The 25224-nt window shown below is 39.9% G+C and overlaps 1 long non-coding RNA gene across 1 annotated transcript in view, besides 1 other annotated feature; it reads right to left on the reverse strand.

The window, feature by feature from the left end:
- Window positions 1–25224, reverse strand: part of LOC101927468 (uncharacterized) — a 38979-nt gene that overhangs the window by 2513 nt on the left and 11242 nt on the right. Inside the window, exons 2-4 of the long non-coding RNA NR_120331.1 lie at window positions 17383–17464; window positions 15889–16016; window positions 6332–6525 (exon numbers count right to left, since the gene is read on the reverse strand). This is a non-coding gene — a long non-coding RNA (uncharacterized LOC101927468). The remainder of the gene's footprint in view (window positions 1–6331; window positions 6526–15888; window positions 16017–17382; window positions 17465–25224) is intronic.
- Window positions 8533–9034: an enhancer, noted in NCBI's record as "NANOG hESC enhancer chr1:147691416-147691917 (GRCh37/hg19 assembly coordinates)". NCBI's record gives its function as "activates a minimal SCP1, AML or CMV promoter by ChIP-STARR-seq in primed H9 embryonic stem cells {active_cell/tissue: H9 hESC(primed)}" and the evidence as "EXISTENCE:reporter gene assay evidence [ECO:0000049][PMID:30033119]".

Consider the following 25224-nt stretch of genomic DNA (forward strand, 5'->3'; position numbering starts at 1 on the left):
TTTCGGGGTGTGCTGTGCTAGGAAGAGCCTTTTCCAGGTGCCTGGCCATTCTTCTGCACCAGTTTTTAATTGCTAATGAATTAAACTTTCCAAAGAGATAAGAATAATGTTGTTTTGTTTGCGCACAGATTGCATGACTAACAAGGACGATATAAATAAAACCATTCCAAGCTTTATCTGTGGGTGGACAACAGTGCCTGTGTTCAAGTGAAGCCTGAGATGGCTCCCACACAAGATTAGGTTGTTATTGCGGAAGCTGAGGCTTGCACACTGTTAAAAGCCCGAGCTAATATGTTCGCTTAAGACATTATGCCTAATTATGCTATGTGTCAGTAAGGGAACCTGTTCCCCAAACGTTAAACTATCCTGAAGCACCAGTGTGGGTCTGAGCCAAGTGGACTCTGTAGGATTCTGAGCTAACTATGCTCCATGGTGTTTATGAAAATGGGTAAGATCTGATCCTGGTGCATTCTCTACCTTCAGGATGATATGTATTCCTACTTGGACCAGTAACTATCTTAACAAATATATGTGAGGAGAAATGTTTGTGCTTTTATTTTTGGAAACTTACCATAAAAATCTGCAAACATTTCCTATAAAATGCAGAGTTCTCTGTCCATCAAGTTGTTTGGGGGCACTGAGGAAGGAGATGTTTATTTATGAGTTTGTTTCCAGTTCAAAAAAGGAATGCCTTCATGAGCAGGAGAAATGACTGAGGTCTGGATTTCTGAGTCATGATTTGGGCTTGGCTCGTGGTTTTAGGAGAGTTGAACATCCTTTAGCTAATGTTTCTTGTCTCTATGCGGGTGGGGTGTGCTATGATAAGAACACTAGCCTTGTTTTGGCTGAATGTTGAGTGCAAGAATCCTTTGCTGACCTAAGACCATCTAGAACTGCTAGAAATTCAGAATGGCTAGAAATGTATGTGTTGTGTGTGCCTTTCTCTTTGTTCCAACCCTAACCTTAATTGTGTGTGTGTGTGTGTGCACGCACACGCGGTCAAGTCAAGCAGGGTAGAAATCTGAGGCACTGGTAGCCCACTGGGATGCCTTTGTCTGGGATTCACTCACCATCAGTCAAGAGGCTTCAAAAATTAATTTAATTTGATTAATGGGAGATTGAAATCCCACACCAAGGCCTTAGGAAATCTCATGGTGAATTAAGTCACATGGATCATTTCATACCTCAAACTTCCTGTGGCTTCCAGGGAGAATCCATAATCTCCAGGAGTTGGTGAGGCAATCATTCACCCCTAGACACATCTGGACTCTGACTGCAACAGGTAGAATCTTGACTCTGTCCAGCCATCCACATCTCTACTCCCAGCCTCTTTCCATATATTTTCCAAAATACTTAAAGTCACCCTGAATGCCCCTCTTAGCACTTAATGCTCAGTATCATCATTTAAGCTCATTTTACAATTTTTCAATGTGTCTAGAAGTGTCCTCATTATTTCCTAAAACAATATCCTTTTCCCTGCACCCCACATTTCTTCCTAGAGGATGCCCATTCTCTCCTCTCCCTTCCATCAGAGCTCTAACCAAAGCCCATGGTTGCTCCCTACTCTCTGACTTCAATTCCTCATTCTTCCTCATTCTCACTTTCACTGATGCATGCTCTAATCACCTCAGTTCTCCTAGTCTTTCATCATTCTAACCCACTCATAAATACTATTTGTATTTGTTTACACACTCAGTCAAGAACTTTTTACTGTCATATCTGGCTCAACATTTTTCCTGCCTCTGTGTCAATTTGGTTCCCTTTTTTGTTCTAAATGTATCATCCACTATTCATCCTTTCATCTAAATCCATCTTTCCATCCATCTACTTCACAATTATTTATGGAGCACCTAATGGGCTTTATGGACTGCTTTAAGCACTGAGAATAAGAAGGTGAATAGGTGGCAGCCCCTATTCCCAAGGAGTTCACAGGGGAAGATGGATGCACATACATCACATGTGGTTAATTATCTGGGTGTGATAAAGGCAATGAGAGAGGAGCACAGAGGACCAGTCTAGACCAGGGCAGGGGAAGGTAATCAGAGCAGTCAGCTCCTCCTCCCCAGCCAGGCTGGTCTTTCTGCAAAACCATCACTCCTCAGTTCATGGCTTCCCATGCCGTGTACCTGAAATGCCCTTTCTATCCAAATCTTGGCTATTTTACAAGATCAGAGGTATTCTACTCTACCTCTGGGAACTTTTGGACTTATTCATAGCATCCAATTTAGGAATTCTTTGATACATGATGCTTTGCCTTCTCAAATAGGTTACGGCTTCGAATTTAAGGAGAGATCATTGTGTCTCAGTACTTTTGTGTTCCTTACACTGTGCTACCAAAAACACTGAATTAAAAAACAGGACATGGATAATTCATTCCTAGATTTTCCTGACCATCTTACCTTTTCTGCCAACATGAGTAACACCTTATCTATATGTAGTAGGCACTTAATAAAATAAAGACATTGTGAGACATTGGAAAGAATAAGAACTTCAAACTCAAGTTCAAATTCTAATTCAATTACTGGCTGTTTGGACTTAGGCAACTTTATCTTTTCTGAGCCTCAGGCTCCTTAAATGCAAAATGAGGACTAATAACACAAACTTTATTTCTATTTAGGGGACGATTAAATGAATCTGTATATGTAAAATGCCTAGCACTGTGCTTTGCATATATTAAGGAATCAAAATATGCTAGATCCTGTCCCTCCCTCTATTCTTCGTCCCCTCTCCATCCCCAACCCTTCATGCCAGGCAAAATTTGGCAAGAAGCAATAGAGACATTTAAAACTTTAACACCTGCATGCTTTTGGTTGCAAAACAGTGCTTAAGCTTTTCTCAAACTCCCAACATAAAGCCTGGGAAGGACCTAGATTTGTTCATCACACCCAGCTTGTCACAGGGAAAATCTTGGTGTATGTATTACTCAGTCTTATGTGGGCATAAATGTGATAAAAGTTCTGTGATCTTTGAATTTTATGGCTCTCAAAAACATGTGACACTCTACATTTTTTACTGCCCTTCGTCAGTCAGCTGATTTTGAGACCTAGGGAAACCCCTGTACGTTCTTCGACCCACAGAAAGGGTTAAAGATTCCTACTACAAAAGGACTCAGTGTTCTAACTCTAAATGTCTTGGGAACATGGCCTGGAAAGGCTGAGGGCCATTGCATTACACAATTACCTATTTGCTGGAGACAGTATATTTAATAACTAATCATCTAATCTAATAATACTGAAGAATATCAGACTCAAAGGTCAAGTGTTTAAGATTAGGGAGAAAGCAGCCTTAAAAGTACATTTTAAAGAGCCTCACAGGTCAACAAGTCAGCCTTAGAGCCTGCCATGCAACCACCACTTCCAGGCTGCTAGGGGAATCAGAAATGTCACTATCTTTCAAACTTAGAATATTGATTATATCCACTCTACTCATAGGGGCTTTATTCCATGACATCTCTTAGTTAGCAATTTAAGAAAATGATTTCATCCTATATAATGCCAGATTAGCTCAATGACGAAAAATGTTACACTAGGAGCTCTTCGATACACACTTGAGAGCTCTTACCCAAAATGTTATTTTCCCTCTGGACTTTCCTGTGTTGATAAGTTCTGTTTGCTTCCAATTGTGGTTCACTCTTGTGGATCTTTTTCTCAGAGACCTAAGTGATCATCATTCCTAGAGATATTTGTGGTACAAATTCTTTATTTTCAAGTTCTGAAAACCTCATACTAAAAAGTCACCCTTTATTTCTCACTTTTAAAAGCCTGAATGGGCACTCTTCCTCATCTTTCATGAAGTTAAAGTCTTGTCACAATTCAAATTCCCTAGATGAATCCCTTAAAGAATCACTACACAGTGCTGACTCTCCAATGTGCACACTTGACCAGCAGGACGTGTATGTTTATTTCAAATATTTGAGTCCTTTTGCTTGATCTTTTCATAAGTTGGTCTCACTTCAGTCCCCTGATGGCTTTAAATCGTGGTACTTTGCTCACAATTTCTCAGAGTAGAACATTTTTAGAGAAAGATCTAGACATCTCTGCTTTTTCTAGGAAAAATAAAAACATAAAAACTAAAAACCCCGCAACTCTCAGGATAGACCGGATTATGCTGAGGTAACAAATTAACCCTAAAATCCCAGTGGATCATCAAAACAAAGGTTTCTATTTTGTTTCACTACATGCTCATCACAAGTTAGTGAGATGCTCTGCTCCTAGGGCTACTCAGGCACCAGGAGCAACTCCAGGTAGTTCCTCAGGGACCCAGGCTGAAGGTGATTACACCATCTGGTCATGTCCCTACTGTAGAAGACAAAGAGGACCTCATAGCATTCTTCTATGCCTAGGCCCAGAATGTACATTGTCCCACTTCAGTTTATAGCCCATTAGCTAGTGCAAGTCACAAGTCCCCTAAGTACCAGGAAATGTGGTCTTTTCTGTGTGCAGAAACAAGAGAAGAACAAAAAAAGTATGCAAACACACTCACATCACCATTGCCTACATTAAGATTTTATGCTTCAAGAAGAGTGAAGCCAACAGAAAAGGCTGAACATAAAGGAAATCTCTAAGCCTGGACACCCGGTGGATCCAGAATAACCAAAACATAATTAAAATACTTACTGAGCACTTACTGAGTACTTTTCTCAAGATTAATGCAAATTTCTATTCTGCCTTTAATTCCTTGATTTTTAAAAATATTTTAAGATTTTTGCCAAGCTTTTACATTTTAGGTTATAAAAGAATTTCCAAGGCCTGGTATGGTGGCTCATGCCTGTAATCCCAACACTTTGAGAGGCCAAGATGAGAGGATCACTTGAGCCCAAGAGTTCAAGACCAGCTTGGGCAACATAGTGAGATCCCATCTCTACAGAAGATAATAAAATTTAAAAATTAGGAGGGCATAGTGGCATGTGCCTGTAGTACCAGCTACTCAGGAGGCTGAGGTGGGAAGGTCACTTGAGCCCAGGTGGTTGAGGCTGCTGTGAGCTATGATGGCACCACTGCACTCCAGCTTGGGCAATAGGGCAAGACCCTGTCCAAAAAAAAAAAAAAAAAGAAAAGAAAAGAAAAGAAAAAAGAAATGATCTTCCAAGAAGAAAGGTTGATACTAATTTTTAAATGTAAGGTCAATCACTACTTGGTTCACATTAAATTTTCTAGCAAATCTTGTGTTCCTCATTTGCAAGATTTGCTTCTGATTTGCTAGATTTGCTTCCGGATTTCCCTTGGTTTGCTTCTCTTTGTTCAGAAGATAAATTCACACTCAAAGTAGCACAGGGCCTGACATAGATGTAAATGCTAAGCATATATACCAATGCTTAGGAATAACAAATAAATGAGTGTGAAATTAGAAGCATCACTACCAAGAATATTTATACAAATATCTAGACTTATACTCCATGCTACAACAATAAAATCCAAAATCAATGTGTCTTACCTTTCGCATACGATCATTAATGCCAAAGGGCAGTACTGATTTCATTAAAAGAACAATTAGAAAAGATGAAGAGAGATTTTCCTGTTTTCCTCCAATTTTGAATCTGTCCTCCTTTTCCCATTTTCCCCATTTTCACAGATTCTTATGATAAAGTTTTCATTTCTCAAGGAGCCAACGTCACCCCAGACTCACACAAGGGAACACAACTGTGTTATCATTGCTTGTCTGAAGGAAGGGAAGTCACCAATCCTCCTTCAAACAGGAAACCTTGTGGAAAATAATTGTGAATGTAGAGCACACCTGAGCAGAAAAAAAATGCTGACCAGAACTGTGCAATAAGTTTCTTCCATGTTGGAAGAGTTTGACTTACAACTCAGCCATTCTCTGCTGCTTATATAAGAGCAAAGTCACGTCAAAAAAGAAGCCAAAGGAAACAGAATGTTCTCCATTGCAGGAATGACTGAAGTTTCGCCAATTAAACTTTTCCTTAGGCATGAACATAAGTAATAACCTAACATATCCTGAGTACTACTTTGTGCTATGCAGCCTGCTAAACACACTACATGCATTAAGGTTATTGAAAGTGGAAGTAATGCTCCCAGTATTTGTGCAGGATAAAAAGAAAATATTAAATTATTTGTTTTTGTTTATTTTGTAACCTTATTATTTAGTTTACTTTTTTGCATTTTATTATTTACATCATACTGTATATAGTATATTGGTACCTATATAAAATAAATATATACTCACACACACATATGTTGAGAGCATACGAATAGCAGTTGCAGCTCAGTTTATTTTTAATCAATGAGAAAGGATTATTATTATTATTGTTAGTTATCATTATTCCTGTTTGCAGAAAAGGAAACTGAGGCTTAAAGAGGTTAAAAGGACTTACCCAAAGTGTCAAAGTTGGTAAATGGCAGAGCTGGAATTCAAAGAGTCTGATTCCAAAGTCTATATAGTCCGGCGTGATCATTAAAGGAATTCCTTGTGTTCAAAGAGCAGTGCTTGAAAACCAAGCTCATTTGTGCCTGCAGAAATGCCAGCCTCTGGGGTAGAAGAAATGTCATACTTTGATCATCTTCCACACTGAATTAGGAGGAAAAGCAGAAGAAAAGAAACTGAGGGTACCAATGCCAGACAGTCACTAGGTAGTAAATGGAAAAGAATTTAAAGAAAGTGAAAATCAAAGGAAAATATCACAACGTTTGGTTGACACCCTATTCCTCACCCAGCCCCTTAATGTCTTTCTACAGAAATCAGATTTCTGGTGCAGGCAGTTCATTGTTTGAACATGCAGTAATGGACACATCCAGATTCCTAACACTGGGGAGTTCAGAGTCAATCAACATGGATTGAGACACTTACAGCTTCATCTTTTGCTGATTGAGCACTGAGGGGTGTGTATCCCCATGCGGTCCCTAAGAGCTACACCCACGGGAGAAACATTTTATGTTGTTCAAAATACTTGGTGCTATGGTTGTTATCTTCAATTTTCTTAACTAGTAATGAGTGATCCTAGTAAGTGTTAAACCAATATGCACTAGGCTCTCTTTAGGATATTCATTACGGAAGGCTTTGAAGCTGAGAAAGAAGTTTAGAGTTTAGGGAAAATTTTTAAAACAACTCTATATTATAGGCATTTTAAAAAATAAGTGCAATGGAATTCTTTAGAGGTAACCAAGTTTCTCAGGATATCTTTGAGGCAGTGATAAAGATTTAAGTTTTTAAAATCACTATCAAACCCCTTTGTGCAACATTTGCATAAATTCTCAAACAATGGGACTGTTTTCATGTAAATTTGTTTTCAGGGAGATTCCTGCTTTCTGAAGGCAGTGTAACTGTAGCTGAGTTACATAAAGTGACATTTTATTGCCTCCTGTGGAAGATGCTTTGCACTAATGATCTGAAATCTGATGTCTCAAGCTAGGAATTAGATGATCTGTGGCTCAAAGTGTGAAAAGAGAAAGTGGGGCCTTTATGTTTTAGTTAATTACTTCTGGCTAAAATGTGGGGAGCGCTCCCTGGACCTTCTGGGACTCCTGGAATCCGGAAACCTGTCTACAAAACCTAAAGGATTGAAGCAGTTGACCTCATCACAGGAGTGACCACAGGGGGAAAAAACAGTGATTCACAAATCCAAGCCTGATTTCAGTCAGAAATTTTTCTGTGTTTCATAAATCTGCCTTTTTTCTCTAACTGCCCTTGCCACCTAGCAAGCCAGGAACAGAGAGACCAAAAATCATCATAAATATGGAATATGCAGTCGGAAATGTGAAAAAAGAGCTTGCTACCCAGGGAGAACAAAGCTTTCACCCCTCTGGGGCTTCACTGTGAAAAAGAAACAACTCTGCTTGTTTTGTCTTATTTTCCCAGATACTTCTATTTGAAAAATATAGTAAATCAATTAATCAATTTTTCTCTCCCTACTATCCACGCCCCCTCATTTCTCCAGTTCTCTAATTCTCTAATTCCTGAGTTGTCTAATTCCTGAGTACTCCTAGGGCAGTTCAGCTTACTACAAGAGAATTTTTTGTGGCTGTTCTCAAACTCCATATTCTGTTTGCAGAGAATGCTGTTCCTTAATTCTGTTTGAGTTTCAAAGAGAAAAAGCTCATACCAGTTTAGATTACCCACAATCCTCAATGCATATCGAACAAAATTGTCATTCCTAATGGCAAAGTTCAGGATATAACTGTGTTAGTTAATTTAATCATTTACCATGAAATACCAGGTGTCTTAATCTTATATATAGTTCTTAAGTTGGCTGCATATTTTTGTGCAATTGAATACTGACCCTACATGAAGAATACAAGAATTTTGTTTTTAAGTAAATGTTGTTAGAAATAAAATGTTTCTACTGGAAAAAAAAATATGTTATTAGAAGCACTGTGAATTTTTCTCCAATGCTTGAAGAGTGACCACTCCAGCAAGCCTGGCTTATGTTGGTGGCATTCTGCCCTGCCACTACCTCCAGCACATCCACAGACCTTTATTTTTGTTATTTTATGACCACATGCAGGATTCTGGCACCAAGGACTCCATTTGGACTTAGGAAAAGTAGAAGAGCACTCTGAAAACTGGACGTCGGGAATTGATGAACTGGCATCGCACCCCAACAACACACTCTGCTTGTGGGCCTTACTCTCCAGATACCTGATGTATTACTGGAGAAGCAAATGCAACAAGGCAAAGATGTCTTCATTTTCTGTCAAAGCAAGGCCTCAACTATGGTGTCATTGAGGCCCTGAATCTCCGCAGCCAGCCAGTCAGACCCCATCAACAGCTGCAGCAAGCAGGGCTGAGGAGGGGAATGGGAGGCGATAGGAGCCAATGAGGGCTGAGCCCGCAGCTCTGTGTCTGACTGGAGCAGAGAGACAGAGAGGCCAGGGCCAGAGGAAACCCCAGCAGCAAGGGAAAAACAGATTGACTCTCAGTGACTCATTTAGCTCCTGGGTTGGACAGATCTCTCCCCTGCTGGCAATTTGGCTCTGCATCAATAGTTCGAATACCAGGCTGAACAGCTTCAAATAATTAGGGGGAAAAATCTGCAAAACTGCTAGCCATCCAATTCTTTACTCTGTGCTGAAAGACACAGTACAAATGACATCTAGGTTATTAAATATGAAGTCACTGGATTTGCTGCCCATTTGGTCCAAAGGCAGAAAACTGGATAAAACTCAAATTTATAATTCAGTGTAGATGGCCTGTTTGTCCTTGAGGCGATCCATGAATTTTGGCTGGGCAGGCGCTGTGAATGTGGAAGTAATGTCGTGGGGGAAGGGGGATGAACAAGGTTTGTTCCCCCCGCCCCGCCCCGACTCGGCTTACACCCCCTGGGGAAAAAAAAATGAAAATGTCAATAAAGACTGTGAATGTGAAGAGAAATGGAATCTGAGCCCAGAGTTTAGTAGCTGGCAGTTTAAACTTTATATACTTTAGGCCGACAGGCGTCTGGATCTCCTGTACTTTATATCCAGCGTACAAAAACTGAAGCAACAGGCTCATTTGGTATCAGTAAAGGTCAGTTAAAATTATAGAGACATTTTTTGGAGCAAATCTCCAGTCTTGTATTTGCATATTTATGAACTAGAGATTAAGATAGGCCATTCCACTTATTAGAGCAGTGCTGCTATAGTTAATAGTCTGTCAGCATTTCCATTATAAACCCCATTTTTCAGTGTTTAGTATCTCAGCTGTTAGAAATTACATCAGGCTGAAAAGTGGTCTTCAGCATCTCAGGCCTTGGCAGGGTGAGCCGGTGGTGGTGGTGGTGATGGGGCTTGGGAAACCAACAAAGACATTTAAATCAAGCCAACTGTTTTTACATTGGATATTAACAGTAAATATGAAATCAGAGATTTTGAGGGGAGTTGGTGAATTCTTCTCCTCCCTCAACACCCCCCCACCAAATTATCTTTCCCCTGTCTTATCCTTGTCAGTATCAGGGCTTTCACTCTCTATTTAAAGGGAAGACTCTGGGATTTTAGGGCAAAGATCCAAAGTTTTGGCTTGGCAAAATAGTTTTCCTCACTTCACTGGAATTGTGGGGGTAGGGGAGAGCATCAGAGTAAAGCAAAGATGTTGAAGACATTCATTCATTCATTCATTCATAAAGAATTGGCTCATGCAATCATGGAGGCTGGTAAGTCCAAAATCTGCAGGTTAGGTGGGCAGGCTGGAGACTCAGGGAAGAGCTGATGTTGCAGTTTGAGTCCAAAGGCAGTCTGCTGGCAGAATTTCCTCTTCCTCAGTGGAGATCAGCCTTTTCCTTATGACCTTCAACTGATTGGATGAGGTCCATTCACATTATGGCACATAAAATTAACCATCACAGAGGCTAAGCTGCTTTACTCAGTCTATGATTTAAATGTTAATCTCTTCTAAAAAATACCTTTGCAGCAATATCCAGACATCTTTGACCAAATATCTGGGTACCAGGGCCTAGCCAAGTCGCACATAAAATTAACCATTGCAGGGACCATGTTTTAAAGATCTCCTATACATCAAATCCTGGGCTTGGCCTTGGAGACACAAAATTAATGACACACTCCTTGTCCTCAAGAAACTTATGATCTACCATCACACTGGTACCAAGTTTTCACAATAAAATTACAGACTCAATAGCTGGTTCCATGCTTTGCTTTCTCTTTTTGGCCACTTGGGATATCCCCTGCACAGAGGCACAATTGTGAGTGTGCTTAGCTGCATTCTCAAGAGAAGGCACTGCTATCTAGGGACTCCTTATCACATAGGAAGACAGCCTGCTCTTTCCAAACCAAATTCTTGTAAATTCACTGGACACTAACCTGTCAAGTAACTCAGTGATATTCAAAGATCCTTTGGGATTTGAGGAGAAATTGGAAAAAGAGAAAAGAGGAAGCAGCTTGCTTTCTCAAGTCATTCATTCAAAAAAAAAATGAGTATTGGCTCCTGTTATATGGCTCCTCGATGTGTTTTAGAAACCACACAAACACATCCTCAACTGGACAACCATAGAGCAGGTTGAAAAATTCCTACTCTACCTGGCGGAGTTTCCAGCCCCTCTGCAGAAGTGCACACCTATGCAAAAACCTTCATCAGAAGAGAACCTTAAGGGATAGTCTGACAGTAGGGAATCCCAATGTGTATAACCAGTGGTCCTTGCTATCTGACTCCGAGAGCTACACTGAGTAATAGAAGCAACTCTCCTTGCCCTGTCTTCTAGGTTTCTATTATACTTGGAGTAGGTAAGCTTTATTTTATTTGCTCAAGATATGTCACACCCCTGGACACACAGAATAAAAATTCAAAGTCCTCCTGGAATTCAAGATGTGTCATACCCCTGGACACACAGAATAAAAATTCAAAGTCCGACTAGAGAGGCAGAGAATATCATCACTGTATCACTCCATTTTACTTTATTGAAAACCTTAAAAGTAAATATAAAACGACAAATTACGGTGCTGCTATTGTTGCTTGCTGTCTGGGAAAAAAAGAAATGTTGGATAAGAAGGTCAAAATGTGCCAATTCAATGCCCTGAGAATGGTCACCTAATCTTCTATCAAGAGATGTGACATACCATCTAAAGAACGGCTGCCCAGCCAGGTGCAGTTGGTCACATCTGTAATCCCAGGACTTTGGAAGGCTGAGGCAGGCAGATTCCTTGAACTCAGGAGTTCAAGACCAGACTGGGCAACATGGTAAAACCCCATCTTTACCAACAATACAAAAAAAAAAAAAAAGCTGGGCATGGTGGTGCGTGCCTGTGGCCCCAGCTACTTGGGAGGCTGAGGTGGGAGGATCACCTGAGCCCCAAGGGTGGAGGTTGCAGTGACCTGAGATTGCACCATTGCACTTTAGCCTGGGTGACAGAGTGAGACCCTGTCTCAAAAATAAGTAAAGAAAGAATGACTGCCCTCAATGCCTAGGAGCTTGACTCTGCTTTACTTCTGCCCTTTCGATTCTCTGTGAAATGAACAGGACTTATGTAATTGCTTTCAGCAGCATCTTTGAATTACAATTACATAATAAGACACACACCAGGATGTGTGTAATTGTGTAATAACAGCATGCCTCACTGTGCTAGGTTGGTGGCCAATAACCACTTAGTCATGCTATTATATTATAAGAACATATGCCCTCAAGGCATGTTGAAATTATTCTGGGGATCTCTAAAGGAAAGCTGACTGATCAAAAGAGAACCCCAACTTAAAAAGCTATAAAATAAATAATTTTTAAAAATCTGATAGTAATCCCAACAAGAAACAAAAAAATTACACCTACCCTAAAAACAAACAAACAAAAAACCTGTAGTGTAAAATCAAAATCAAAGTGTTGTGTAATGATTCACTTACGTCACCACAGGATTTAAGATGACAGAGTGTTAATAAGGAAAAAACAAGAAGCTGGCCAGAAGTCAGGTGTCGTGATGCCCTCTTCATAGTTGGTCAGCGTGAAGACTACAGAGGAGTTATGTCTCAACCCAGAAAGTTCTAGCTTCTTTGGAGCCTACTCCTTCCCAAGAAAATGACACCCCAAAGGCTCTATAAACTTTCCACACTTTGAACTTTTGTGTTGTTCTCATAGTCATCAGATCAAAAAATAATCTCAGAAATGTGAGATCAGACTTTTGCAGTTGAATCTCCCCAATGATATTTTCCTTACAGTGAAAGTATGTGCTAGGATAAATTGCCCACACTTTATTCTTACAGCACAAGATACGTATATGTTATATATATAGTATGTGTACATACGTTTCAATACCTAATTTTTCTGTATATGCAAACTACATTTCCATCTCTTCCACTCTTCTAACTCATTTGGCAGGAAAAAAACCTCATGCAACAAAAATAAGGCAGTATGAGATGAGGGGAGAGGTGGGAGAGATACTTTTGCAATTTATAAAATATTAGTTTGTCACTTCTTAGATAAGGCTGTATCAATACAAGTTATAATATCGAGGTAAACATAAATGTATATGTGTAATATACTTGTAATTCACAATTGATGTTTTGTTTTTTCCTTATGCAATTAGAACCTTAAAATATAGAAGTTTTGATCATTACTGTAATGGGCTGAATTATATCTCCCCTCTCCCCTAGATTCATATGTTGAAGTCCTAACGCCCAGTGCCTGAGAATATAACTGTATGAGGAGATAAAGTCTTTAAAGAAGTAATAAATTAAGAGGAGGTTATTCAGGTGGGCCCTAATCCAATATGACTGGTGATATGGTTTGGCTGTATATCCACCCAAATCTCATCTTGAATTGTAGCTCCCATAATTCCCACATGTTGTGGGAGGGACCTGGTGAGAGATAATTGAATTATGGAGGTGGTTTACCTCATACCATTCTTTTTTGTTTTGTTTTGTTTTTTTGAGATGGAGTCTCACTCTGCCTCCCAGGCTGGACTGCAGTGGTGCAATCTTAGCTGGCTGCAACCTCCACCTCCCGGGTTCAAGCAATTCTCCTGCCTCAGCCTCCCAAGTAGCAGGGATTACATGCACGTGCCACCACACCCAGGTAATTTTTGTGTTTTTGTAGAGATGGAGTTCCACTATGTTGGCCAGGCTGGTCTTGAACTCCTGACCTCAAGTGATCCACACGTCTCTACCTCCCAAAATGTTGGGATTATAGGCATGAACCACCATGCCTGGCCCTCATACTGTTCTTGTGGTAGTGAATAAGTCTCACAGGATTTGATAGTTTTATAAGGGGAAACCCCTTTTGCTTGGCTCTCATTATCTTCTCTTGCCTGCTGCCATCCATGTAAGACATGACTTTGCTCTTCCTTGCGCTCTGACATGATTTGAGGCCTCCCCAGCCATGTGGAACTGTGAGTCCATTGAACCTCTTTCCTTTATAAATTACCCAGTCTCAGGTATGTCGTTATTAGCAGTGTGAGAACAGACTAATACAACTGATGTCCTTATAAGAAGAGGAAATTTGGACACAAACATGTACAAAGGGAAGACTGTGAAGACCCAGGTGGAAGATGGCCATCCACAAGCCAAGGGGAAATGCCCCAGAGGAAACCAAACCTGCAGACACCTTGATCTTGGACTTCTAGCCTCCAAAGTTGTGAGGAAATAAATGTTGTTTAAGCCACCTAGTCTGTCGTAGTTTGTTATGGCAGTATACATTTATTACATTATTATATCAACTGCACATTTATTACATCAACAAACTTTTTTTTAAACAATGCTGAGTATAAGTAATGAGAATATAATGGAGAGGAAAACAAGGTCCATGTTGTTTTAGGGCTTATAGTCCACCAAAAAATAATTTTGACAGGACATGCATAGGAAAGGCAGCAAATATAGTTGTGGGTTTTAATCCATTACGTATGTGGCATTTCCAAAATACCATATGTAAGCTGATTTTAAATATTTTCAGTGATCTTAAAGGACATCAACTGAGTATTTCAGTCACCTTAACAACCAAAAGTATTCAATGATTCAACAAATGACCTGCAACTAATGACTCAATCTAAACCCAATCTAAACCTCCATTGAGTTAAATTTGAGGAAGTACCTACAAAATTATTGTTACCTCTCTGCAGGGTGCTGGACTGGCTCTCACCCACTTCAATTATGCACATCTCTTCCCAACTTCATGTTCAGTCATACCAGATGAGTTGTTTGAAATCAGCACCCTTCACACTGCCCACTGAAGGCTCCACTTCAAGTCTGCCCTCCTCTGGAGCCTTTTGTTAAATCTTTGCCAGCACACCATTCGTCAGGGTGCACCCCCATCAACAAGACAGCTTAAAGACATTTAGAAAGCAAAACCATGACAGAAAATGTCAAAGGGGAAGAGAGGAATATACAAATATGGAAATAAAATAATAAAGTGGAAGATTCTGATGTATTAAGCCAGAGCAGCAGTTCTCAAATGTTATGGCCTATATCCAAATCACCCAGAGATGTAGGGTGGGGCCAGGGAATTGAATTTCTAACAAGTTTCCTGGCTATCCCACTGCACTGGACCATCGGTATGGCTTTTTCTCCTAACACCAGTTCGTCTCCTGTGCTTACCACCTGGTTGAGGAGGGGTGGAAGTGCATGGCAGGTGTGGCTAATGCCATTGGATTGGCAGCTCTTGGTAAAGGAAATCGATGGCCATGTATAAACAATGTTTAAGCTGAAGTCCAGTGAAATGGTCCCTGGGGACCCACAAGCTGCTCACAGCCAGGAAGGCAGCACTGCCCAATGTTGCCCCCACCATGGAAGAAAAAGCATGCCAAACACCTTCATCTAGCCCTGAAGGTATTTTCACTAGGCCTATGTAGAAGGTAGTTTGGCTAAAACAGCTTCAGTTGGCATATGCAGAAAGACACAATCTTAGAGCCACAGTGAATTATTTGTTTGGAAGGCAGGACCCTATTAAGACACTGGATGTTGCCTTATCCATATCTGGATCACCACAATGCAAACCATGCCCCTGGAGACAGAAATCTACAAGCCACAAAGACAGGGAGAAAGCTAACATGACATTACTGGGAAGGTGAGTATACACTAATTAGATCTCACAAAATAAGGATGATAGAAGAATTCCATTGTGTTCACATTTCTTACCCTCTGTAATGTTGAAGATCTGAAATTTGGTTGTAAATACATTGGTAACTTTTTTGTCCAAATTACATTCCCAAGAAACAGATAAAAACTGAACACAGGTTGAAGTTTGGCTGTTTTATAAGTATGCAGTTACTGAAAGCACTGGTGATAACACTGTCAGAAGTGAAAAATTATAGATGATTAATAAGAAATTGTTGAAAGAAATGGTTCTTGCCAAACAAAACATCAATGAGATTGAAAACAATTTTCATTGACAAAACATGTGCCTGTTGGGCATTCCAGAGGAGTGTGATGAGAATAAATTTGACTGAACCTTTAAAAGAGTTTTTACTTGTTGGGTCAGATCTTTCTGCTAAATCCCTCAGTGTCAAAATGCTGTTTTGCCTTTCCTACCTGCTCTGGGCATACTCCGTCACAAACTACGTTGTGTGAATCTGAGGACTGCTTTAGAAATGAGTTCCCAAATTGCTCAAGAAATAGTTCAGGCTGTAATTCTGAAAAGCCTTCTGCTCACTCAGGTCCTGTGGGGGGAGTTTAGCCAATAAAGGAAAGAAAGAAAGAAAGAAAGAAAGAAATTAAACTCTTTCAAAAGCAAACTTTGGAACCATGACAAACATGGAAGCCATGTGTATACCATGCTGTCAGCATTTCCTGAAGAAGCTGTGTGTGGGCTTCAGGGAGGGCTCTGGGATGATAATCTGGAAATGATGAAGAATTCTTTTATGTATTTTATTGTAGTACAGGTCTAATAAAAGCTAAGTATTATAAATGTTAATGGTGCATTAATTGTAAGTTAAAACAATAATTTGATACTATTTTTCCAACCACAAATTGGCAAAAAAATTTAAAAGTGAGAACATAGGGTTTGGTAATGAAATAGGAAAATGGGTGAACACTCAAATACAGTTTGTGGAAATATAAATTGATAGAACCTTTTTCAGGGACAACTTGGCAGTATCTATCAAGATTCCAAATATACCTATCCTATGAGGAAGCAGAATGCATATGAGTTAAGGACAGACTCTGGATTCAGAGATCCTGGATTCCAATCCTGGCTCTACCAATTAGAACCATGAGATCTCAAACAAGTTGCTTAACCTCTCTGAGCCTAAGTTTATCATCTGCAAAACTGAGATAATAATAGTATCTATAACTCATGGGGTTGTCATGGGAATTTTAAAAGTTGATATTTGTAAAGTGTTTACACTGGTGCCTAGCATATAGGAAGTGCCTAGAACCCTAATTCAAGGAAAACATTCTATAAAACTTCTAGCCAAATGTCTAAGTTCAATACAACATGGTTTCTCACAACATATAAATGGAAACTAACTCTAGAGGTCCAACACTGAGAAAATATGCAAATAAATGCTAGTTCATCAGCGTGATTGAATAGTTTATAGCCCTTTAAAGAATGAGGTAGGCTGGGCGCGGTGGCTCACGCCTGTAATCCCAACACTTTGTGAGGCCGAGGCGGGCGGATCATGAGGTCAGGAGATTGAGACCATCCTGGCTAACACGGTGAAACCCTGTCTCTACTAAAAAATAGAAAAAATTAGCCGGGTGTGGTGGAGGGCGTCTGTAGTCCCAGCTACTTGTGAGGCTGAGGTGAGGCAGGAGAATGGCGTGAACCTGGGAGGCAGAGCTTGCAGTGAGCCAAGATTGTGCCACTGCACTCCAGCCTGGGTGACAAAGTGAGACTCCGTCTCAAAAAAAAAAAAAAAAAAAAGAGTGAGGTACAGCTCTGTGTACCCCAAGAACAACATATTGCTGAGTACAAAAACAAATTGTAAAACAGCATGTTCAGTAGAATCTCATTATTATAAAAGTGAAGTTTGTGTGTGTGTGTGTGTGTGTATGTGTACCTGAAAAGATATATACCATACTTACCAGTGATCACCTCTGAGGAGTGAGATTAGAGCAGCGAAGAGACTTTCAATTCTTACTTTATACACTTCTGTATTGTTTGAACCTTTGAAAATGAACTTAAATTACTTTTTAATTAAAAAAGCTTTTAAATCACTAGTCTGAGCATAGTTTAGATTTAAATAATTATTCTTTCTCTCTCTTTTTTTTTTTAAAGATTCAGATTCATAGCCATGCGATGAATGCTACTGTTATCATTGACATAGATGACCAGCCCGGAAATAAGATTGTATGAATAGTCCATTTAGTTAAATGTTTCGGCCACTTAGATCTATGTGAATGTGAGCATAAAATGTGGAAACACTTAGGAAATAAGCTTTCATTGTATAGTATAATAGGGGGTAATGAGATTCGGTCAATCTGTCAGAGATTTAAACCTACCCGATCCTAAAGAAAAACAGGCCTAAAATATTTCAAATGTGAGGTTATATTAAAAGCCACAGTTTCAAACTGTGAAGCTAAAGAAATCAGTTGTTTCAGTTTATTGTCTCAGGGAAAGCACAGTGTAATACCTGAAGGACTTGAAAGAGAACCAAAAGGAGGGGTAGCATTCCCAGCAGCTAGCACTTTCATCCAATGCCAGGGCTTTCATTGGCCAAATTATTTTCAAAGATACTGCCTGACCGAAGCACTTCTGCAATAAAAGTATCTCTGTGTTAGTCAATGGAATGGGGGAATGTTAAAATTGAAAGAGGCCTTTGAGACCAGCTAGGTCAGTGTCCACATTTCATAGAAGAGGACACTGAGTTCTGGAAAGATCACGGGACTTCGTAACAAAAACAAACTACAGCTCAGGTCAACTGACCATCAGTATAGTATGCCTTCTAATACACTACTGTCCTCGCACTTTTTGTATTTTAACGTAATGGTTTTAAAATGCACATGGGAAAAATAAATATAAACTATAATATAGAACACAAAAGCTCCCAGAGAAGAGTTTACTTCCTATTCTTGTACTCCAAGTCCCAGTTACTCTCCTCAGATATGACCACTGTGCTCCTCAGATATGACCACTGTGCTTTTTGTTTTGTTTTGGTTTTGGTTTTTGAGACGAGTTTCACTCTGTTGCCTAGGCTGGAGTGCAGTGGTGTGATCGTGGCTCACTGCAGCCTCAACTTCCTGGACTCAAGCGATCCTCCCAGGTCAGCCTCCTGCATAGTTGGGAGTACAGGTGTGCACCACTATGCCCAGCTAATTTTTTGTATATTTTTGTAGAGACAGGATTTCACCATGTTGCCCAGGCTGGTCTTGAACTCCTGGGCTCAAGTGATCTACCCACTTCGGCCTCCCGAAGTGCTGGGATTATACCTGTGAGCCACTGTGCCCAGCCTATAACTACTGTCAGCAGTTCCTCTGATAGTCTTTCAGAGATGCTCTATGAACTTCTAAGCAAGTGTATATATGTGTGCATGCATGTGTGCAGCATATTATATATACAGTTGACCCTTGAACAACATGGGTTTGAACTATGTGGGTCCACCTATACATGGATTCTTTTCCACCTCTGCCACCCACAAGACAACAAGACCAACCCCTCCTCTTCCTCCTCCTCCTCAGCCTATTCAATGTAAAGATGATGAGGATGAAAACCTTTATGATGATCCACTTCCACTTAATGAATAGTAAATGTATTTTCTCTTCGTTATGGTTTCTTAATAACATGTTAACTTACTTTAAGAATATTGTATATAACACATATAACACACAAAATATGTATGTGTTAATTGACCGTGTATGTTATCAGTAAGGCTTCCAATCCACAGTAGGCTATTGATTTTTAAGTTCTGAGGGAGTCAAAAGTCATATGCAAATTTGCAACTGTGTTGAGGGGGTAGGTGCCCCTAACGACCAATTGTTCAAGGGTCAACTGTCCTATCAAGCTTCTTGTTTATTTCTTTGTTTTCACTTGAATATATCATGCAAATTATTCCTTATCAATACATGTTAATCTTCTCTCATTCTTTTTAATGGCCGCACATTATTTCATTACATTATATTACAATTTATTTCATCAGTCCCATCTCAATAGATATTTAGACCTTTTTGTCTTTTGTATTACAAACATGCTGTTATCAATAAAAAGTACTCATATACACATCTTTAAGCACCTGTCCAAGTATGTGTGGAGTATACATCAGATAAATTATTAGATGTGGAATTTAGCCAAAGAGTATATTTAATTTTGATAAGCAATGCCAAATTTTTCTCCAAAAAGGTATATTAATTTACACTTCTACAAAGAAAATATAGTCATTATTTAAGTTTTATTTGTGATTTTTTTCTTCACTTATTAAATGATAAGTTCCTTGAAGAAAGAAACCATAGCTTCTACAACTTGATTCCAATGCCCATGGCCACACATATCATCATTCTTTAACAAAGATTGAATGACCAAAACTGTGCTAAAGACTGAAATACAAAAATAGATATATATTATTTCCTATAGTGGTAGACTAGTTATCTCAGAGTAACCCCTCTGCTGAGAAAAAGTAAAATGAAATTGGGAAATATATTTTTTGAAAACCCACACCTTCCAAAAGCACCAAATAGTTAATCGAATAAGAAACTGCCCAGTCAAAAGCTAGAAAAAATGAAGCCCCTATATTAAAATCTGTTTGGCCCTAATGAGATTTGCTTATCTCGAAGAAATAACTGTGAAACTGCATTTGCTTAGGGCAGGTGGGGGTCTTTCAGGGCAGAGGAAACAAGACTTAAAGCTCAGGGTCCACCTTAGCTTAAGACTCAGATAAACCACCTGCCACTGTAAGGTAGAACCTAGCAAGGTTATCACTTCAGGGTAAGGGTAAACCAGAATTAAACCAGTCCTTCAAAAGACTTGCAGCCTAGCTTCTCATCATTTGGCTCTTTTAGGGAACCTGAAGCCTCGAACTTAGATTAAGATAGTCCTGCATTAGTAGCATCTCTAGAATCATGGCAGAAACAAATTAAAATACTCTCTTGTAAGAGGCACTATCATCTTATGTCTCAAAGTATTCCTAAAATACATTGAATAGCACACAAAGAAAACAAAATGCATAGGAAACAAGGTACCATGAGCAAGAACCAGTTAAAACAAGAAGATAGTAGAAACAGACCAACAAAGACTGTTTGTCATATATTGGGATTATTAGATACCAACTATAAAACAACTATGCCTACCAAGCCTTAAAAAAGAAAAAAAAAAAGGAAAAGAAAGAAAGAAAAGAAAAGCTTCAAAATTTCAGAAAGACACTGAGGGGGAAAAGTGACATAATTTTGAAAAGGGGAAATATAATGACAAATTATGAATTAATTGAGTGAGTTTAAGGGCATATTAGACATAGCTGAAGAAAGAATTATTGAACAGAAAAATAAGTCAGAATAAACTTTCCATATTACAGCACAAAGAGACAAAAACAGAAAATATAGCAGAGAGGATAAGAGAGAGGGAGGACATCTTGAAAAAGTCTAACATATATTTAATTGCAGTTTTACAAGAGAGAGAAATGGAGCAAAGGCAATATTTAAATTTTTATGGTTAAATGACTGAGAATTTTGGAGGACTGACTCATAGAACTTAAGAATTCCATGCAGGATAAAGAAAAAAGAAATCTACACCAAGATTCACCCTGAGATATTGCAGAAAACAAAAGAAAAAGTGAAAAAATCTTTATAGCGTCCAGAAAAAAAAATTTTAATTTAAGTTTCTAAAGCACAAAAATAAAAACCAAAGGAAAAATGGGAATATATTCTCCATGTTCTTATAGAAAATAAAAACTATTATAGAACTTTATAGCCAGCAAAATATTCTTCAACCATGAAAGTAAAATACAGGCATTTTCAGACAAACAAGAATTGAGAGAATTCACAACCAACTGACTTAGGCTAAAGGGTCAGAGACACAGAAAGGATTAAGAATTTTAAAAATGGTAAATATATGGGTAAACATAAATATTGACCTTAAAAGCTGTAATATGCATGTCTTACAGAGTGTTAAAATATACAGAATTAAAATGTATAGCAACTCCATGTTGCCAGCTAGAAACTAGGGAGAAAGGGAAGTTTTGTTAAATTATTCTAAGGTCCTGACCTCTTGACTTCAGGTAATCCACCCACCTCACCCCCATCTCTACTAAAAATACAAAAATTAGCTGGGTGTGGTGGTGCACACCTGTAATCCCAGCTACTCGGGAAGCTGAGGCAGGAGAATCGCTTGAACCTAGTAGGTGGAGGTTGCCATGAGCCGAGATAGCACCATTGCACTCCAGCCTGGGGGATAAGAGCAAATCTCCATCACAAAAAAAAAAAAAAAAAAAAAAAAATTATTCTAAGGTCCTTATACTCATTCCAGAAGGACAGTAAATGTACTGATTAACATTAGACTTTAGGCCAGGCATGGTAGCTCACACCTGTAAACCCAGCACTTTGGGAGGCCAGGGTTCAGGAGGATTGCTTGAGCCTAGAAGTCTGAGACCAGCCTGGGCAATATAGCGAGACCTCGTTGCTACAAAAAATAAACAAACAAAACTAGCCAGGTGTGGTGGTATGTGCCTGTAGTCGCAGCTACTGGGGAGGCTGAGGTAGGAGGATCGTTTAAGCTGGGGAAGTTGAGGATGTAGTGAGCTGTGACTGCATCACTGCACCCCAGTCTGGGCCACAAAGTGAGACCCTGTCTTTAAATTAAAAAGAAAAAAAAGACTTTGCTAAGGAAAGGGTGACTATTGTGTGATTTCTAGAGCCAGAGAGCCACTGCTCAAAGAATAGAAAAAGAGTACATTATTTTCATATCAACAGAAAAGGAAAAAAATAGATGGTAAGAAAAAATAATCATTTCAAAAGAAAGGCAAGAAAGGTGAGAAAAAGAAACATAGATCTGGTGGACCAAACAAAAGCACAAAATAAGATGGTTGTTTCTTGGCCAGGTGTGGTGGCTCACGCCTGTAATCCCAGCACTCTGGGAGGCCCAGGTGAGCAGATCACTTGAGGCCAGGAGTTCAAGACCATCATGGCCAACACAGGGAAACCCTGTCTCTACTAAAAATACAAAAAATTAGCTGCAGCTGGGCACAGTGGGAGGCCAAGGCAGGCAGATCACTTGAGGTCAGGTGTTCAAGACCAACCTGGCCAACATGGTGAAACCCCATCTCTACTGGGTCGTGTTCATTCTTACTCTCTGTCCCACTCAATATCTCCTCCTGGAGCCCCTGGGGCTGCCAGGTGCTTATCTGTCAGGCGATGCCCCCAGCTGAGGAATAAGGGACCCATGTCCTCAGGAGGAAGGAGGGTCACTTGAGGTAACGAGCACTTTCTGGGTCCGTGGAGAGGACACATGGAAGACGCTCAGTGAGTGTCGGGGGATGCGTAGTCCCTGACACGTGCCCTGATAACTTCGAGTATTTAAACTGATTTCTTCCCACTGATGTCTCTTTTGCTTCTCCATGGATTCCCACATCCCCAGTCAGGACTCACCCACCTGGCTCCAACGCTCTCACCTGCTGGCTTTCCCAGGAGTCCAGAGCACTAACCAGGCTCCAGGCAGGAGGAAAGAATGAATGCCTTTTGTTTCATTCTCTAGTGACTTCTCCCTGCTGTCTACTAGGGCATTTGTTTCTCACCATGTCTTCTCTCTCTCAATAGTCTTATTTTTCCAAAATTTTTTCCAATTTCAATGGGCTAGATTGTAATGTTAGTGATTATAATGTTAATTCAACACCTTCCACATCCCTATGTAATAATTTCTTCCAATAGATTTTTATATATAAATATATGCATTTATGTCACTGTTATATACGTTATGCATATTTGCATGTATTTTTAATAAAATGTAGATATATGCAATGTACCTATCTGTATGATCATTTCATCAATATCCCATGTTTAGTCTTCCCAATTCTTTTCTCTCATATGTTCATTTAACGTTGATTTTGCTTGATTTTTAGAATCTCCTCCCTCCCAAAACACAGCCTGTATCCAGTGTGATTTCCTTGCCTTTGCCTTATCTACTTGGAAGCTATTTGGGTTTATTAATCCTAAATTTTTTGAATATGTTTGCCAGTTGGGATCACCTTTTCCTCCTGGCAATCTTGTCATTACTGGGTGATGCATGAAAAATCAACAATACAGAAAGTACCCAAATGTCTTTCTTGGCTTCCCTTTACCCCTTGGATTTTCTTGTTCAAGGCCGCTTTCCTTCTCTGATGATCCTCTTGGGTGGAAGAGAAAGTCACAGTAAGATCATGGATGACAGTGAATGCTGTTGGGTGTGGTTTCATTTTCAGAGCTGGGTTTAGAGACTTCCCTTGGAATGAAGAACCCTCACCAGCTGGAAGGTGATGCTATTGAAGGCTCAGCTGACAACACACATGGGCATCAAGTCACTGGCCACATTCATGCCTCAAGTGTCCTAAAACCGAAGATGACCAAAAGAAAGCTCCCATTCAGCAAGTGGAGACTGGCCTGCAGATTCCCTGGCCTGCAAGCTTAGAGTACGAAGGTAATCACATCTATGGCTCTTAGCTGCACTCACTCCTTATTTCTCTCTGTCTGTGATGACAGCTCCTTCTCCCACTGCTTTTTTCTTCTGTATTTGTTCTCTCCAGCAGCTGCTGTCATGTCTGTCTGGTCTAACCTCTGTGTCCCATGGGCTGCCACCCTGCCAGGCCCTTCTGGTCCTCATCACCTGTTTGCTCTCTGAACTCTGCTCTGTTCCCACTGCTGCTGTCCTGAGAGTCCTTCTCACAGCTGCAGGAGAGCCCAGCCTCCTTGTCTCCCTCCAAGTGCATGGTGTGAGCTGCTAAACACAGAGTTCTTTGCCTGGAATTGCACGGCTTGAGTAATTTGCCTTTCCTTCCTGCATCCCAAACTCCATTGCCCCTTTCTGCTGGGAGCATTGCTTTAATACGTCATTTATACACAGATTTTTCTCTTGGGACAGCTTTTGAGCAACCCAACTAAGTCAAACTTTAACCCTCACCTTGTACATGGGAATGAGAAGTGTTAAAAATGAGCACTAAGAACCCCAAATCAAAAACTAAATTAGAACCTGGGTCACAGAAGAGAGTTCCCTACTAGCCTGGAGTCAGGTGTGTCTTCAGCTCCAGATGGGCAACCTTATGCCAACGTGGATGAAGTTTCCAGGGACTGTGCCTGCTCCTCATGGAGTCACTTAGCTGACATTAACTGGAGAACATTTATGACATTCCAAAGGAACCTCAGCCGAAGGTAGATGCAGAGGGCAGGGCAGGACTTTGAACCTGCATAGACCACGAGGTACATTCTCACCTCTCTCCTTTTTATTCACATATCTACTTCTACAAGCTCAGTTAGAATCTAAAACACAACTCAGGTGAATCTTGAGGACAGAGAAATACGAGAGCATTTAATGAATTAACTTTGAGAAAAGTGAGTCCAGGGGTCAGCTTTATGTCTACATAAGATGATAGACAAGAACCTATCTACAGGACAGACTTTGCCTCAGACCAGCCCAAGTGAGAGATTTAACCGAAATTGTCAGAAGAAAGACTAAAATCCATAGAGCCACAGAGAATGAAGGCAATCATGAGAGAAATGAGGATAGGAAAGAAAATGATGGGAAATCAGGTTGGTTCATTCATTGTCTCTAAATCCTGCTACCATGTAATAAGCACCTGGTGAGATTTCAATAAACATGAATGCCTTGAACTGACATCTTGAGATTCTCACTTAAATGGTCTGGGGTGTGATGTGAGCATCAGTACCTTTAAAAAACTTCCATGATATTCTAATATACAACCGAAGATGACAAGGACCACTGGTCTACTCTGACCTCAGGTTTTCAACATGGAGATG

This window comes from Homo sapiens, chromosome 1 (assembly GCF_000001405.40).
Source record: "Homo sapiens chromosome 1, GRCh38.p14 Primary Assembly".
In the NCBI taxonomy this organism is placed as follows: domain Eukaryota; kingdom Metazoa; phylum Chordata; class Mammalia; order Primates; family Hominidae; genus Homo; species Homo sapiens.